Source organism: Homo sapiens, chromosome 9, assembly GCF_000001405.40.
Source record: "Homo sapiens chromosome 9, GRCh38.p14 Primary Assembly".
NCBI lineage: Eukaryota > Metazoa > Chordata > Mammalia > Primates > Hominidae > Homo > Homo sapiens.
Window position 1 is genome coordinate 42,711,563 of NC_000009.12, and position 16,704 is coordinate 42,728,266.

The window sequence follows — 16,704 nt, forward strand, 5'->3', positions numbered from 1 at the left end:
CTTCTAGGTATCTGAAAATTGTCCTGACTTTGACTCAGCCCATGCATTAAAGCAGATGCTTTTAAATATTTTATGATACATGTTTTAGGAAAGGGCCTATCTGGATATTTTTTCTTACAATTTTCATTTCTCATTCAATTCTTCTTTCACACTATCCTAACGATTAATCAACTCTTGCCATTTATGTCAGTTAGTACAAAACTTCACTATCCTGTTCATTATTACCATTTCATTTTGTTCTGCATAGGCCAGACTATTTATCTAAAAATGTTTAAAGAAATCTAAGGCCTTAAAGGATTCTTTCTCAAGGACTCTACTGTTTGTATTTAGAGAAATGCTCATTTGTTCCACTGTTTTACTTTCTTCTTGGGTCACGCTCTTTGATGACTGCCACCTTACAGAGGATGACAAAAGAGGGCCCACGCTGAGAGAGTGATACCTGCTTGCCCCTTTGGATTTTATTAGTGTTATCAAAATATTAATAAAATGTCAAAAACAAATTAATATCATTAGAATGTGTGCCTCACTTAAAAATTTCTCTCTCTAATAAGAAGTTTTTGCTTCCTAGTTCCTTTGGTATCCTAATGTTTAGGTAAATATTCTCTGAGGAAAGGATGTGGAAGTCATAGCAAAATATATGCTGGACTTGAATGAAAATATCTGTTTCATAAAAGTTAAGCAGGCAACCAAAATTTACCTTTTTTAACCTAAATTATCTAAACATGTATTTACATTTCTGCTTCATTGAAAGATATTTGAGATTAAATATTCCTGAGACTGATTTTGGAATGCCCTCTCTTTCTAAAATGTATTTTTTATTTTTTGTGGACTAAACAGTTATTTAAAAATGAACTTAATGATTGCTAATTACTAAGTTATCTAAACAGTTATTTAAAAATGAACTTAATGATTGCTACTTAGTTATTTATAATGCATTTCAAAATTAACTTTATTGTCTAAACCTTTTAACACAAATGTATTAAATTATGAAACAGGGAATTGGCTATTTTTGTTCAAATGTTTATCCTCATCAAACTTAAAATATCACTCAGCTATATGATTAAAAATGAAGGCTTCAGTCATTAAATTATTTCCCAGTTATTTGTGATATTTCTCCATACTAAAGGACACAAACAGTGCCCTTCAAATCTGATGATAGTTCTATTGATAGTGGCCATCACAAGTTCCACGTTATCAATAAGGTCAAGGCACAAATAAAATTTCTCCCTTGCTTTTCACTCAAAAACTACAAGTATAGTTCTTTGATAAGATGTCCCAATCATGATTTGTGATGCCAATCATAAAAGGAAAGAAGAGGATGTTGAGAAACAATAAAATAGCTACTTTAAAATGTTCTGTGCCTGAACATTTAGATGGCAATATTGGTCATACTATAAATTTGAAAATATAAATTTTAATCTAGATTGACTTTATTCTACTAGTGATTTTAAGAGCTTTATACAAGAGAAACACTTGCATTTTTATTCCTAATGTTTCTTTCAAAATGTGAAACTCCTTTTTTTTTTTATAATTTTAAGAATTCCTAGATAAGCAGAACATAGAGCCAACTGTTATGTTCTGGTTGTTTTTAATAGGTATATTTATGTTATCCCCCAAATTATAATTTATTAATGTCTAACTTCAATTAGATGAGTTGATTACTTTTCATACACCATTGACTAAAGGAAACCTAATTTTACACGTAATTCAAGGGGATCTGTGAGTAAGAACATTTTTAAATTAAAGCAACACATGTGCATGGAAAATCATTCAAACAGTTTGATGGGAAAAAAATCGATGGAAACCAGAAACTTTTTTTTTCCTTCCACAGACCTTGGTCCTGTTTTTCAGAGTGAGGCAGGTTTTATCATACTCTTTTTTTTTTACTATATGCTATTCTCTTGAACTGTAAATAATATTATATAATCACCTAATTTGTTTTATCAATTTTAAGTAATATCCCTTGACTTTTTATGAACGATAGAGAATATAGCTCATTTACCTGACTTTTTTTTCTTTTTTCCTTTTTCTTTTTTTTTTTGAGACGTAGTCTCACTCCCTCACCCAGGTTGGAGTGCAGTGGTGCTATCTCGGCTCACTGCAACCTCCGCCTCCCGGGTTCACACCATTCTCCTGTGTCAGCCTCCTGAGTAGCTGGGACTGCAGGCGCCCACCACCACGCCCGGCTAATTTTTTGTATTTTTAGTAGAGAAGGGGTTTCATGGTGTTAGCCAGGATGGTCTCGGTCTCCTGACCTTGTGATCCGTCTGCCTTCGCCTCCCAAAGTGCTGGGATTACAGGCGTGAGCCACCGCGCCTAGCCCATTTACCCCACTTTCTTCTTCTAAAACTATATTTCCAATTTAGTCTTTAATATATAATTTTAAGGGATTTTTAAAAATTTGCTTCCTCTAAATAATATACTTACAGTGCTTAATTCTTTGCTTAAATAATATACTGTTTAAATAATATATGGTCCATCCAATTTGAATACCACTGATTGGCTCAGTAGGATGTGGAGATTAGTGTAAAACTTCCCTCCCCTCCAACCGTCCCTGTTATAGCTTTCGACTTGTATCAAATATGGTTCTATGCTTATATTTTCACATTTTATGTAAATTACATCCTATTTTGTAGTTATAATAAAGTCTGTGCTTTGTTCATAGGTTAATTTTGATCATGGAATCTCAAGTGAATTGACAGCATCATTATTATGTTTTCTTTTTTTTTCAAACTACAGTCGCAGGTGGCGTGACTTGATTTGTGTGAAGGCAATGAAATGATACAAAGATACACCGAAGCCTCCCAAAAGAATCCTGGTTCCAAGACTTAAGAAGATGGATTAATGTTTTTCCATTAGTTGTTTGAAATTATGTCATTTTTTCACTATGTGTCATCAATTTTAAAGCACTTCTGAAAAGAGATAACAATCTACAATAGCTGGCATTTTAAATTCATAAAAATATAGTATTTTCTTCTATTTTTATACATTTATGATGCATTATTTCTTATTTCCCAGGAATTTTACTTACCTTTGTTTTGAATGATTAAAAAGGAAACACAGTACTTTTTTCAGCACATCACCAAGATAGCCTAGTTAATATTCTTCTCTTTCTGAAGTCGTTGAATTGGGACAGACAGCTTGCCAGGCCTGCTGCCACGTGTCAGCATCGCATCCCTACATTCAACCACACTTGCATCTAACGACCGTCTCTTTCATTAAATTTCTTTTGCACCTTTTCTTCCTGAATGAGTGCATGATAGTTAATTTTCCTGTGCACTTGCATGTCTCAAGAAGGTTTTAATTCTTTTTGTATTGCATTAATATTTACATTAAGTTTATAATTGCAAAATGATTTATACTCAGAACATTGAAGCCTCCTTTGTTTTGTAACATCCTGTCAAAATGGCTAGAAGACAGATCATCGTTTAGGGAAAAATTGGTTTTGATTGGCATCAGCCTTTGCAACAGCAATGCTGGAGACAAGAATAAAATGAAGTAATATCTTTCAAGGATTAAAAGGAAACAAATTTTAATCCTTGAATTATTTGCAGCCAAAATCTTTTAAATATGAAAGCACAGAAAAAGACATTATAAAATAAGGCCTCAAAAGTTTTATTTCAAATAAATCCCTTTGAAAATGCCTAGACATACTCCACTAAGAAGAGAAATAAACCGTGGTGTTAGAATTGAGGGTTCAAGAATCAATGGTAGTGGTGTTTATCATACCTAAAAAATACATGAAAACATAACATATTGAAAACAACCCCGAGTAAACTTCAGAAAGCACCCCCTTAGACAAAGTGCTGTCGTAACAGAGAAAGCAAAGCAGAGGTGGCAAGAGGAGGCTAGAGTACTTATTTGGTTTGCTGAGATGATATTAATTTTGACACATGTCGGACACATTTCGGAAATTGAGAAAATTAACATAAATAATGATATAACCACCATTACAATGTTAAAAATTTCCAGATTTCAAACAAGTGGAAAAAGATTTGATCTATAGAGTGAGAGGTACAAATAGGAAAAAAGAAACAGTAAAGAAAGTATGAAAAATCATAAACGAGATGACAGAAAGAAGTCATAATGGAACAAAAATTACATAAATCAAAGGTTAAGATTGTTAGGTAAAATTTTTTAAGTGTCAAAAAACACACAATATAACCTATCAAAAATAAATTAGTGGAAAAAATGTAGCAGGAAAATATCAATAAAAAGAGCTAGGTCCAATTTTTGATAAAAATTGGAATTCAAGTTGATAATATCCTAAAGAAGGAAAAGTCTGTAGGCCAATAGAAGAAATAGCAGATGCAGAGGTGTGCTCACAAACATGCGTGCTCATGACACTACTCATACAAACTCAAATTCCCATTACAGTTGTATACAAACATGATGGCCGACAAGAAGAAAGTTCCTTTAAGCCCACTTGGAGCATTAAGACAAATTTACCATGTGAATCCCTAAGTGAACTCTGAGTTACTTCTGCGAAGGAATGAACGATGATATCATAAATGAATTTCATATAACACTCAAAGCTCCTCCTCTATATGGTTCAGGATAGACTTGAGTATCCACGGTTCTGGAGTGCAAGGGAAGAGAAAGGAAAGGTGCATTCAGACAAAAAAAATGTGTACAGAACACACCAGGGATATCAGAAGAGGCTGCTCATGGCAAGGCGTGGTGGCTCATACCTGTAATCCCAGCAGTATGGGAGGCCAAAGTGGGTGGATCACCTGAGCTCAGGAGTTCAGGACCAGCCTGGGCAGCAAGGTGAAACCCCATCTCTACCAAAAATACAACAAAATTAGCTAGGCATAGTGGCACATGGCTGTGGTTCCAGTTACTTGGGAGGCTGAGGTGAGAGGATTGCTTGAGCCTGGGAGGCAGAGGTTGCAGTGAGCCCAGATCGTGCCTCTGCACTCCAGCCTGGGCAACAAAGTGAGACCCCGTCTCAAAACAGAACAAAACAAAACAAAAAAAGAGACTGATCAAGACCAGACTCGGCTCCTAGGCCTTGAACTCCAGTCCCACCTCACACCCTAAGGTTCCTAAAGAATCAGTAACTTAGTTCACCCTACCCCGCTCCTGGCTTCTAGATGTAGCACAAGTTTCTAAACTTATGCAAACAGTGAGGACTATCTATTTTGACAAAATAAGAAGAAATGGAGTCAAGGCAACATATAACAGATAGTTTTGCCAGTTTTATTGATTAACAAAGAAAAATTGTATATAGTTAAGGTATGCAGTGTGATATTTTGATATACATATACATTGTGAAGTGATGATTACCACAATCAAGGTAACATATTCATCACCTCACCTGGTTACCTTTTTATTTGTGTTTGTGTGGTGGAGAACACTTGAGATCTACTCTTTCAGCAAATTTCAAGTATACATTATTATTGACTTTAGTCACTATGCTGTACATTAGATCTCCAGAACTTATTCATCTTATAACTGAAAGTTTGTACCTTGTGACAAACATTTTTTCTTTTCCCCCAACTCCCAGGCCCTGGTAAGCACTATTTTACTCTCTTACCATGAGTTTGACATTTTTTAAGTATGCATATAAGTGAAATCATGCAGGATATTTCTGTGTGTGTTCCTGGCTTATTTTACTTACCATAATAAACTCCAGGTTTATCCATCTTGTTACAAATGGCAGCATTTCCTCATTTTTAAAGGCTAAATGATATTCCATTACATATGTGTGTGTGTCTGTGTGTGTGTGTGTGTGTGTGTGTGTGTGTGTAATACACTTAAAACATCCATTCATCTGTCAATGGACACAGGTAGTTTCCGTATCTTGGCTGTGTACATAACACTGCAATGAACATGTAAGTATACATATCTCTTTGAGATAGTGATTTTCTTTACTTTGGATATATACCTAGATGGGGATTGCTGGATTATATGGGAGTTCCATTTGTAATTTTTTGAGGAAACTCCATACTGTTGTCTGTAATGGCTGTACCAATTTACATTCCCATCAACTATCAACTAAGCGCAAGGGTTTCATTTTCTCAATATCCTCAGCAACATTTGTTACCTTTTTACTGTTATAATAGCCATCCTAATAGATGTGAAGTGATATCTGATTGTGCATTTTCCTGATGATTAGTGATGGCAAACCTCTTTTTCTTAGTATATACCTATTGTCAATCGTATGTCTTTTAGAAATGTATCTCTTCAGGTCTGATATGCTTGACTGTGTCCCCACCCAAATCTCATGTTGAATTGTAGCTCCCATAATTCCCATGTGTTATGGGAGGGACCCAGTAGGAGATAGTTGAATCATGGGAGCAGTCTCCCCCACACTGTTTTTGTGGTAGTAAATAAGCCTCACAAGATCCGATTGTTCTATAAGGGATTTCCTTTTTCACTTGGCTTTCATTCTGTCTTGCCTGCTGCTGTGTAATATGTGCCTTTAGCCTCCCACCATAAGTAAGACCTCCCCAGCCTCATGGAACTGTGAGTCCATTAAACCTCTTTTTCTTTATAAATCACACAGTCTTTGGTATGCCTTTATCAGCAGCATGCAAACAGATGAATACAGCAAATTGGTACTGGTAGAGTGGGGTGCTGCTGTAAAGTTATCCAAAAATGTGGAACCAATTTCGGAACTGGGTAGCAGGCAGAGGTTGCAACAGTTTGGAGGGCTCACAAAAAGACAGAAAAACATGAGAAAATTTGGAACTCCCTAGCGACTTGTTGAGTAGCTTTGACCAAAATGCTAATAATGATATGGACAATGAAATTCAGGCTGAGGTTGTCTGAGATGGAGATGAGGAACTTGTTGGGAACTGGAGTAAAGGTAAATCTTGCTATGTTTTAGCAAGGAGACTGGCAGCATTTTGCCCCTGCCCTAGAGATTTGAGGAATTTTGAACTTGAGAGAGATGATTTAGGGTAGCTGGCGGAAGAAATTTCTAAGCAGCAAAGCATTCAAGAGGTGACTTGGGTGCTGTCAAAAGCATTCAGTTTTAAAAGGAAGCAGCATAAAACTTTGGAAAATTTGCAGCCAAACGATGTGATAGACAAGAAAAACCAATTTTCTGAGGAGAAATTCAAGCCAGCTGCAGAAATTTGCATAAGCAACAAGGACCCAAATGTTCATCCCCAAGACAATGGGGAAAATATCTCCAGGACATGTCAGAGACCTTTGTGGCAGTCCTTCCCATCAGAGGCCAGGAGGCTTAAAAGGAAAAAATGGTTTCCTGGGCTGGATTCAGGACCCCCCTGCTGTGTGCCACCTTGGGACTTGATGCCCTGCATCCCAGCCACTTTAGCCACGGCTAAAAGGGGCCAAGGTACAGCTTGGACTGTGGCTTCAGAGGCGCAAGCCCCAAACCTTGGCAGTTTCACATGGTGTTGAGTCTGTGGGTGCACAGAAGTCAAGAACTGAGATTTGGGAACTTCTGCCTAGATTTCAGAGGATGTATGGAAACACCTAGAGGTCCAGGCAGAATTTTGCTGCAGGGGTGGGGCCCTCATGGAAAACCTCTGCTAGGACAGTGCAGAAGGGAAATGTGGGGTTGAAGCCCCCACAGAGTCCCCACTGGGGTATTGCCTCCTGGAGCTGTGAGAAGAGGGCCACCGTCCTCCGGACCCCAGAATGGTAGATCCACCAACAGCTTGACCATGTGCATGGGAAGACCACAGACAATGCCAGCTCATGAAAGCAACCAGGAGGGGGGATATGTCCTGCAAAGCCACGGGGGTGCGGCTGCCCAAGGCCGTGGGAGCCCACCTCTTGCATAAGTGTGACCTGGATGCAAGACATGGAGTCAAAAGAGTTCATTTTGGCACTTTAAGATTTGACTGGACTGCTGGATTTTGGATTTGGGGCCTGTAGCCTCTTTGTTTTGGCCAATTTCAACCATTTGGAACAGGTATATTTACCCCCTCCCTGTACCTCCATTGTATCTGGAAAGCAACTGACTTGCTTTTGACTTTATGGGCTCATAGCTGGAAGGGACTTGCCTTGTCTCAGATAAGACTTTGGAGAGTGGACTTTTGAGTTAATGCTGAAATGAGTTTAGATGTTGGGGGACTGTTGGGAAGGTGTAATTTGCTTTCAAATGTGAAGACATGAGATTTGGGAGGAGCCAGGGCAGAATGATATGATTTGGCTGTGTCCCTACCCAAATCTCATCTTGAATTGTAGTTCCCATAATTCCCACATGTTGTGGAAGGGACCTGGTGGAAGACAATTGAATCATGGGGGCAGTTTCTCCCGTACTGTTCTCGTGGTAGTAAATAAATCTCATGAGATCTGATTGCTTTATAAGGGGTTTCCCCTTTTGCTTGGCTTTCATCCTGTCTTGCCTGTTGTCATGTAAGACGTGCCTTTCACCTTCCAACTGTGATCATGAGGCCTCCCCACCTATGTGGAACTGTGAGTCCATTAAACCTCTTTTTTCTTTATAAATCACCCAGTCTCAGGTATGTCTTTATCAGCAGCATGAAAACAGACTAATACAAGGTCCTTTGGAATCGTCTGAGTTCCTAATTTATTTGGATATTAACTTCTTATCAGATATATAGCATGTAAATATTTTCTCCCATTCTTTAGGTTGTCTTTTCATTGTATTGATTGTCTCCTTTGCTGTGCTGAATCTTTTACTTTGATTTAGTCCCATTTGTCTAGTTTTGCTTTTGTTGTCTATACTTTTGGTGTCAAATCTGAAAATTTATTACCAATGCCAGTGTCAAGGAGCTTTTCTCCTATATTTATGTCTAAGAGTTTTACAGTATTGCTCCTAGGTTGAGGTCTTTCATCCATTTTGTGTCAATTTTTGTATGTAGGGTGAGATAAGGGTTCAGTTTCATTCTTCTGCATGTGGATATCTAGTTTTCCCAACACCATTTATTAAAGAGACTAAACTTTTATCATTGTGTATTCTTGGCACCAATGCTGAAGATCAATTGATTGTAAAGGCATGGATTTATTTCTGTGCTCTCTATTCTTTTTCCTTGGCCTACATGTCTGTTTTTATGCCAGTACCGTACTATTTTCATTACTATAGCTTTATAATTTAGTTTGGAATAAGGTAATGTGATGCTTCCACTTTTGTTTTTTCTGCTCAAGGATGTTTTGACTGTTTGGGGTCTGTTGCACACAGATTTTAGAATTGCTTTTTTCCATTTCTTTGAAAAATGCCACTGAAATTTTGATAGGGGTTGCATTATATCTGTAGATCACACTGAGTAATAGAGATATGTGTCTTCTTCAAATTCTTTCATCAGTGTTTTATAGTTTTTGGTATATAGAAATTTTACTTTCTGATTTACATTTATTCCTAAGTTAATTTTTTGATGCTACTGTAAATGAGATTGTGTTCTTTCAGATGGACTCTCGCTCTGTCACCTAGGCTGGAGTGCAGTGGCATGATCTCAGCTCACTGCAAGCTCTGCCTCCCAGGTTCACACCATTCTCCTGCCTCAGCCTCCCGATTACAGGCGGCCGCCACCACGCCCGGTAATTTTTTGTATTTTTAGTAGAGATGGGGTTTCACCGTGTTAGCCAGGATGGTCTCAATCTCCTAACCTCATGATCCACCTGCCTCAGCCTCCCAAATTGCTGGGATTACAGGCGTGAGCCACTGTACCCGGCCCAAGATTGTTTTCTTAATTTCTTTCTGGGATAGTTCACTGTTAGTATATAGAAATGCAACAGGTTTTTTTTTTTTAATGTTAATTATGTGTTCTGTAAATTTGTTGAATTTGTTTCTTAATTTTAACACTTTTTTATTGGAGCTTTTAGAATTTTCTCTATATAAGATCATGTCATCTTCAAACAGAGACACTTTCATTTCTTTTCCAATTTGGATGCCTTTTATTTCTTTTTCTTACCTAACTGCTCTGGCTAGGACTTACAGACTTTTTCAGAAAAACCCCAAAATAATCTAGGGGAGTCCACTGTCACTAGATCTGCTTTATAAGAAACCCTAAAGGGAGTTCCTCAAACTGAAATGCAATAAGACTAATTAGTATCATGAAACCATATGTAGTTATAAAAAGTCACTGGTAAAAGTAACTATACAGTCAAATTCAAAATACTCCTAATACTGTAATGATGCAGTATAATCACTTTAGCTTTTAAAAGGTTAAAAGATAAAAAATACTACAAATAAATATAATTACAAAATATACAAAGAAAGAAACTCTGACATCAAAAAACATAAAAAGTGGAGGTAAGTGTAGGGTTTTTGTATATGATTGAAGTTAAGTTGTTATCAACTTAAAATAGACCATTATAACTATAATCATGCATTTCTTAATGTGGATATGCTCTGAATAATGCCTCATTATGCAATTTTGTCATGGTGTGAATATTATAGAGTGTGCTTACACAAAATTAGATAATACTACGTAATACGCACCCAGGCTATATGGTATAACCTATTGCTTCCAGGCTACAAATCTGTACAGCACTGTACTATACTGAATGCTATAGGCAACTGTAATACAATCATAAGCATTTGTGTATCTAATGTATCTAAACATATGAAAGGTACAATAAAAATGTTATAACCTTATGGGACCACCGTTGTATATGTGGCCCATCATTGACCAAAACATCCTTATGTGGCAGATGATAGCATACAATGTTTTATGTAAGCGTCATGATAATCACAAAGACAAAATAAGTAATAGATACACATATGAGAATTTTACCACATTTAAAAAAGAATTAATACAAAGGCACAGCAAAGAATCAAAGTATACCACTACAGAAAATAATCAAAGTAATCAAATCATGCACAGCAAGAGAGAAATAAAAGAACAAAAAACCTACAAAATGCCTATCAATAGTTACTTTAAATATCAGTGGACCAAATTAGTGAAACAAAAGCCACAGAGTGGCTGAATGGATAGTAAAACAAGAACCAAATATATGCCACCTATAAGAGACTCACTTCACCTTTAGAGACACACACAGACTGAAAGAGAGGGAACAAAAAAAGACAAAGAGTAGCTATTCTTACAACAAACAAAATAGACTTTAAGTCAAAAACTGTAACAAGAGACAAAGAAAGTCATAGAATGATACAAGGGTCAATTCATCAAGAGGATATGACTACTGCAAATATATATTCTCCCAACATTGGAGCACCTAATTATATAAAGCAAATATTAACAAATCTGAAGAGAGAAGTGGACAACAATAATACAATAACAGTAGGGGACTTCCATATCCCACTTTCAACAATGGATTGATCACTCAGACAGATAATCAATAAGGAAACAGATGACTTGAACTACACTATAGATCAAATGGACCAGACATATACATGACATTCCTTTCCAAAACAGCAAAATACACATTCTTCTCGAGCATACACAGTACTTTCTCCAACACAGGTCATATATTAGGCCAGAAAACAAGTCTTAGCAAATTTAAGAAGATTGAAATCTTATCAAGTATTCTTTTTGACTACAGTGGCATGAAACTGAAAATTAAAAACAGGAGAAAACTTAGAAAAGTGACAAATATGTGGAAATCAACCAACACACTCCTGAATAACCAATAAATCAAAGAAAACACCAAAAAAGAAATAAAATAACTTGAGACAAACTAAAATGAAAGCACGACATACTAAAACTTATGAGATGAAGCAAAAGCCGTTCTAAGACAGGGAAGTTTATACAGATAAGTGCTAAATGAAGAAAAAAGATCTCAAATAAACCTCAAAAAATAGAAAAAAAAATCAAGCCCAAAATTAGAAGAAGGAAATAACAAAGATCATAGCAGAAATAAATGAAATAGACAAGAAAAACAACAGAAAAGATCAATGAAACGAAGAGCTGATTTTTTGAAAAGATAATAAAAATTGACCAGCCTTTCACTAGGCTAAGAAAAAAGAAATCTCAAGTAAATAAAATTAGAACAAAAAAGGAGATATTAAAATTGGTACCATAGAAATACAAAGGATAATAATAGTCTACTCTAAACAACTATGTGTCAACAAATTGTTTAACTTAGAATAGAGAAATTTCTAGAAACATACATCCACTAAGACTGAAACATGAAGAAATAGAAAATAAAAACAGATAAATAATGAGTAAAAATATTGAGTCAGTAGTCAAAAAGCTCCTGAAAAAGGAATATCCAAGACCAGATAGCTTAGTGGAGAATTCTACCAAATGTTTAAAGAAGAATTAATACCATTTCTTCACAAACACTTCCAAAAGTTGAAGAGGAGGGAACACTTCCAAACATTTTTTTATGAGGCCAGCATTACCCTGATAACAAAGACAGAAAAGGACGCTACAAGGATGACAGATATTTTTAAGGTACAAATGATGTATTGTTGGAATTGAAAATACAGGATTTGTTTGTACAAAGATTTGTGTGCGGATAGGTGGATGTGTATTGGTGTGTGCATGCATACATATACAAGCTTACCTTGATTTGTTGAACTTCACTTTATTATGCTTCTCGGATATTGCAGTTTTTACAGGTTGAAGGTTTGTGGCAACCCTGCATCAAGCAAGTCTACCAGTGCCACTTTTCTGGTAGCATGTGCTTATTTTGTACCTCTGTGTTACATTTTTGTAGTTCTTGCAATATTTCAAATGTTTTGTTATTATTATATCTGTTATGGTGATCTGTTATCAGTGATCGTTGATATTACTATTGTCATTGTTTTGGGGCATCACAAGCCATGGTCCAAAAGACAATGAGCTTAATTGATACATGTGTGTATTCGAATGGTTCCATCGATCTACCCTTCCTCCATCTCCCCCTCTCCTCAGGTCTCCCTGTTTTCTGAGACACAGGAGTATTGAAATTAGGCCAATTAATAACTCTATAAAGGTCTCTATGTGTTCAAGTGAAAGTAGGAGTCACACATCTCTTATTATAAATCAAAAGTGAGAAATGATTAAGCTGAGTGAGGAAGGTATGTTAAAAGCCGAGACAGGCCAAAAGGCCCAGGCTGGTCTCGAACACTTGACCTCAAGCAATCCACCTGCCGCAGCCTCCCAGGTAGCTGAGATTAAAGGCATGAGCCACCATGTCCAGCTTCTATGCATTATTTTATATGGAGTATTGAAGACTCTATTACTGTAGAACTATTTCTAACTTCAATTCTGTCAATATTTGGGTCACAGTTAGGCCTTAATGTTATTACACGGTGGTCTGATGCTTATGGCCAGGACATTTTGTTTTCCTGTTGGACATAAACAATCTCACAGCATAATATCAACTTCAGAAGGTTAATCTGAGACCGTGATAAATGCAAACAAAAACAAGGGCACTTTATAATGTTGTCTAAGTGCAGATAAAAAACAAGGTCTTGATGTCACCCACAAATACTTAATAATCATATTGCTCCTGCTTTCTGACAGCATCCAATCTAAAGTCTTCACTTTCTGAGATCCTATCCGAAATCAACCAATTAAAGCCCAAATCGTATAACAGTTTCTCTCTAACTCCTCCCACTGAGATGACCCATAGTACCCCATTCCTTGCTGCAATGTAATTACAAGTGTGCTCCTGGTGGTCTTTAACTGAAGGGCACTGACTGGGTCACTGGTGAAGTTCCCCGCAGGAACTGAGTCAGACCCCATCTCAGGGCCCTGCAGAAGATAGGTGCCTGCTCTAAGGCGTGGACCCTCGCGACAGCCCTGGCCCGTCTTGACGGGCGAGGGTTACTGTACTTGTCCCAACCGTACAGATGAGAAAGCTGAGATTCAGGGCCAGCAACCCCGTTTCAGCGGAGCGCCTGGCACGCGCCGACTCTTCAGCACCAGTCGCGGTGGCCACCACTGTGCGCGGAGATGGCTGCGACGCGTGCGCAGGTAAAGTCCATGCGCGCCTTGCCTCCCACCGGCGCCTTCCCGGGCCTCTGGTTTTTGTCCCCGCCAGCGGCTCCGACTCCATCGCGTCCTCTTCCAGTCTAGTGCTTTTTTCCAGATCTCGATCCCAAACTCCCTCCTGCCAGAATCTGGACCCGAATCCACCCATTGCTCATTTTCCGCTGCCACTGGAGAGAATCTCTGAGGTCCCCAGGAGAGCCTGCCTGCACGGAAGAGATGCCTCCTCAGTATGGCCGTCCCCGGAGAGGAGCGATTAAGTGCAGACCTCCATGTTGCTCTTGAGCCTGAGCGGCTTCAGGGAGCCATGTTTGTTACTGGCGGGCGCCGGCCTCACTGAGCATGTGCAGCCCTGGCCGGGCGGCCTCAAAGTTCTGACATCACAGGGCGGTTCCTGAAGTGGACGTAGTTGTAAGAGCTAGTTATTTTAGACAATGCCTCTGGGATCAGGGACTCTAATCTGGAAATAGGTAGTGGGAGAGGTCGGTGATGCTGTCTCGGGGTCAGAGACCTGAGCTATATGGGGTGAGAGAGGGGCCCTGGGCAGGCGAGTCTCTGGGGAGTATGGTGAGAATCCTTGTGTAAGATGCTGGGAGGAGGTGGGATCAGGGCTGGGGTCCGTGGGCCGACGGGTTGGGGGATGGCCAGCGTCAGGGATCAGTAGTAGAGATTCTATGTGCTCTGATCGCCAGTAGAGGTTTTAAATACAGAGTATTCATGAGTTTAGCAATGTTATTCGCCTCTCGTTATTTAAATAATTTGAAGTTTTCCCCAATAACTAGTGTCTTAGGAGTCATGAAAATTTCAGAAAATGACAGGTCTTCTGAGTTCGTGATGGGAGTTGGGCAGCAGTCGCTTACGAGCACCTGGAGAGTCCTTGCCAGTTCTTTGGGGATGGGGAGCTCTTAAGACTGCCCTGAGACTGCCCTTTGACCTCATTGTGGTCCTTTCTAGATTAAATGCTGTTCTCCATGACCGTCTCTGTTCTTCCCATACGCAAATGGCAGGCATCCAGATCTCCAAGAATAGAGGATTAGGAGAGACTCCACCACCTATGTCCGCACAGTTAATTATTGATTTGTGTCAGTTGCCCATTTTCTCACTTCCTGTTTCTGTGTCAAGGGGTATTAATAAATCTTTGCCTATTTAAAGATATTAGCCTTGGATTTTCAAATATTGCATATTTTGACATGTAAAAATGTGTTAGTTTTATTTTTTCAACCGATCTGACCTGTATAGTTGGGCTTGAGGAAGCTTCCTCATTGTACATGTTACTATGGATTTTTTAATATTAACACAGAGTTGTATTTTTTCCATATAAATTTCTATTGAATTTCTTTTTCCATATGATAGGTGGTGAAGGTTTAGCCCAGTAAAGCAGAGAGGTTAAGAGGTTAGACTGGGGGCTCTGGAGCCAGACCTGTGTAGATCTGAGTCCTGGCTCTGGCACTTGAAAGCCGTGTGACCTTGGTTAAGATACTTAGCCCCTTTCTGCTAAATGGAGAAATAAGGGCACCTACCCCGTAGGGTAGTTGTGTGATTACACAAGTTAATACACTTCAATCACTAGCAAGAAAGTGAATGTCAAGCTGTATTTGTTCAGGCAGCCATATGGTAGCCCCACCTCATTAGTAAACTGAGGCATTGAAGTATCTTCTTTTTCTTTCAGAAAATATTTGTCAAGCACCTTCTGTGTTCTAAGAACTGTTCTAGAGCTTTACATGCTATGGAGGTCTAGAAATTCACATTATGGTGGCAGGTGACAGACAATACAAAGAGATAAAGCAATTTCATATAGTGATAAGCTAGGGAGGAGTGCTAAAAGGAGCCAAGGTGTAGTGGTGACTGGAAGGTGACCGGGGAAACCGCTGTAGGGTTTCTAAGTGATGAGATCTGTGACAAATCCCTGTGGTCAGCAGCAGGCATTGGATATGTAACTTTATTCTGTCCCATTGATCTTGTAGTCAACCCTGGTCTGTTCTGTATTGTTTTAATTACATAATCTTTGTAATAATCTTTAATACCTGTTGGAGTGCTCTGTTTACTTATTTCTGTGTAATTAACCACCCCTAAGCTTAACTTACTCATGGTTCTGCAGGGTGACTGCTCTCCATGGTTCTAGGGGGTTCTGCATGGGGCTCTCACATGTGCTATAGTCAAGCATTAGCTGGGGCCACAGTCATCTGAAACTCACCTACACGGCTGACAATTGATGTTGCCTGTTGCCTGAAGACATATGTGGCCTGGTGGAATGGAATGGTGACTAGATTCAAGGAAGAGCTTCCCAGGAGCAAGGCTACCAAGAGACCAAAATACAGGATTCAGTTTCTTTAAAAAAAAAAAAAAAATCGGGCCAGGCGCGATGACTCACGCATGTAATCCCAGCACTTTGGGAGGCCAAGGCAGGCAGATCACGAGGTCAAGAGATTGAGACCATCCTGGCCAACATAGTGAAACCCATCTCTAATAAAAAAAAATACAAAAATTAGCTGGGCATGGTGGTGTGTGATGGTAGTCCCAACTACTTGGGAGGCTGAGACAGGAGAATCTCTAGAACCTGGGAGGCGGAGGTTGCAGTAAGGCGAGATTGCACCACTGCACTCCAGCCTGGCAACAGAGTGAGTCTCCATCTGAGAAAAAAAAATAATCCAATAGTAGAATTCCCAGAATGGAATTTATGTCATATTCTATGGATTGAGCAAGTTGCAAGGCAGCCAGATTCAAGGGGAGGGGAGCTATTCCTCACCTCTTGAGAAGCAATGTGTGTTGAGGAAGGGAAAGAATTGATGGTAGCTGTCTTTGACTTCTACCATACAGAGCAAGGTCTCCACACTCCTTTCTCCTGTAATAATTTTCCATTTGAAAATTTTCCTTGCAATTC

General features: G+C 38.6%; 1 pseudogene; it reads right to left on the reverse strand.

The window, feature by feature from the left end:
* LOC124902164 (uncharacterized protein FLJ76381-like) overlaps positions 1 to 14,078 on the reverse strand; it is a 56,858-nt pseudogene extending 42,780 nt beyond the window's left edge.
* Positions 14,079 to 16,704: the final 2,626 nt, after the last annotated feature.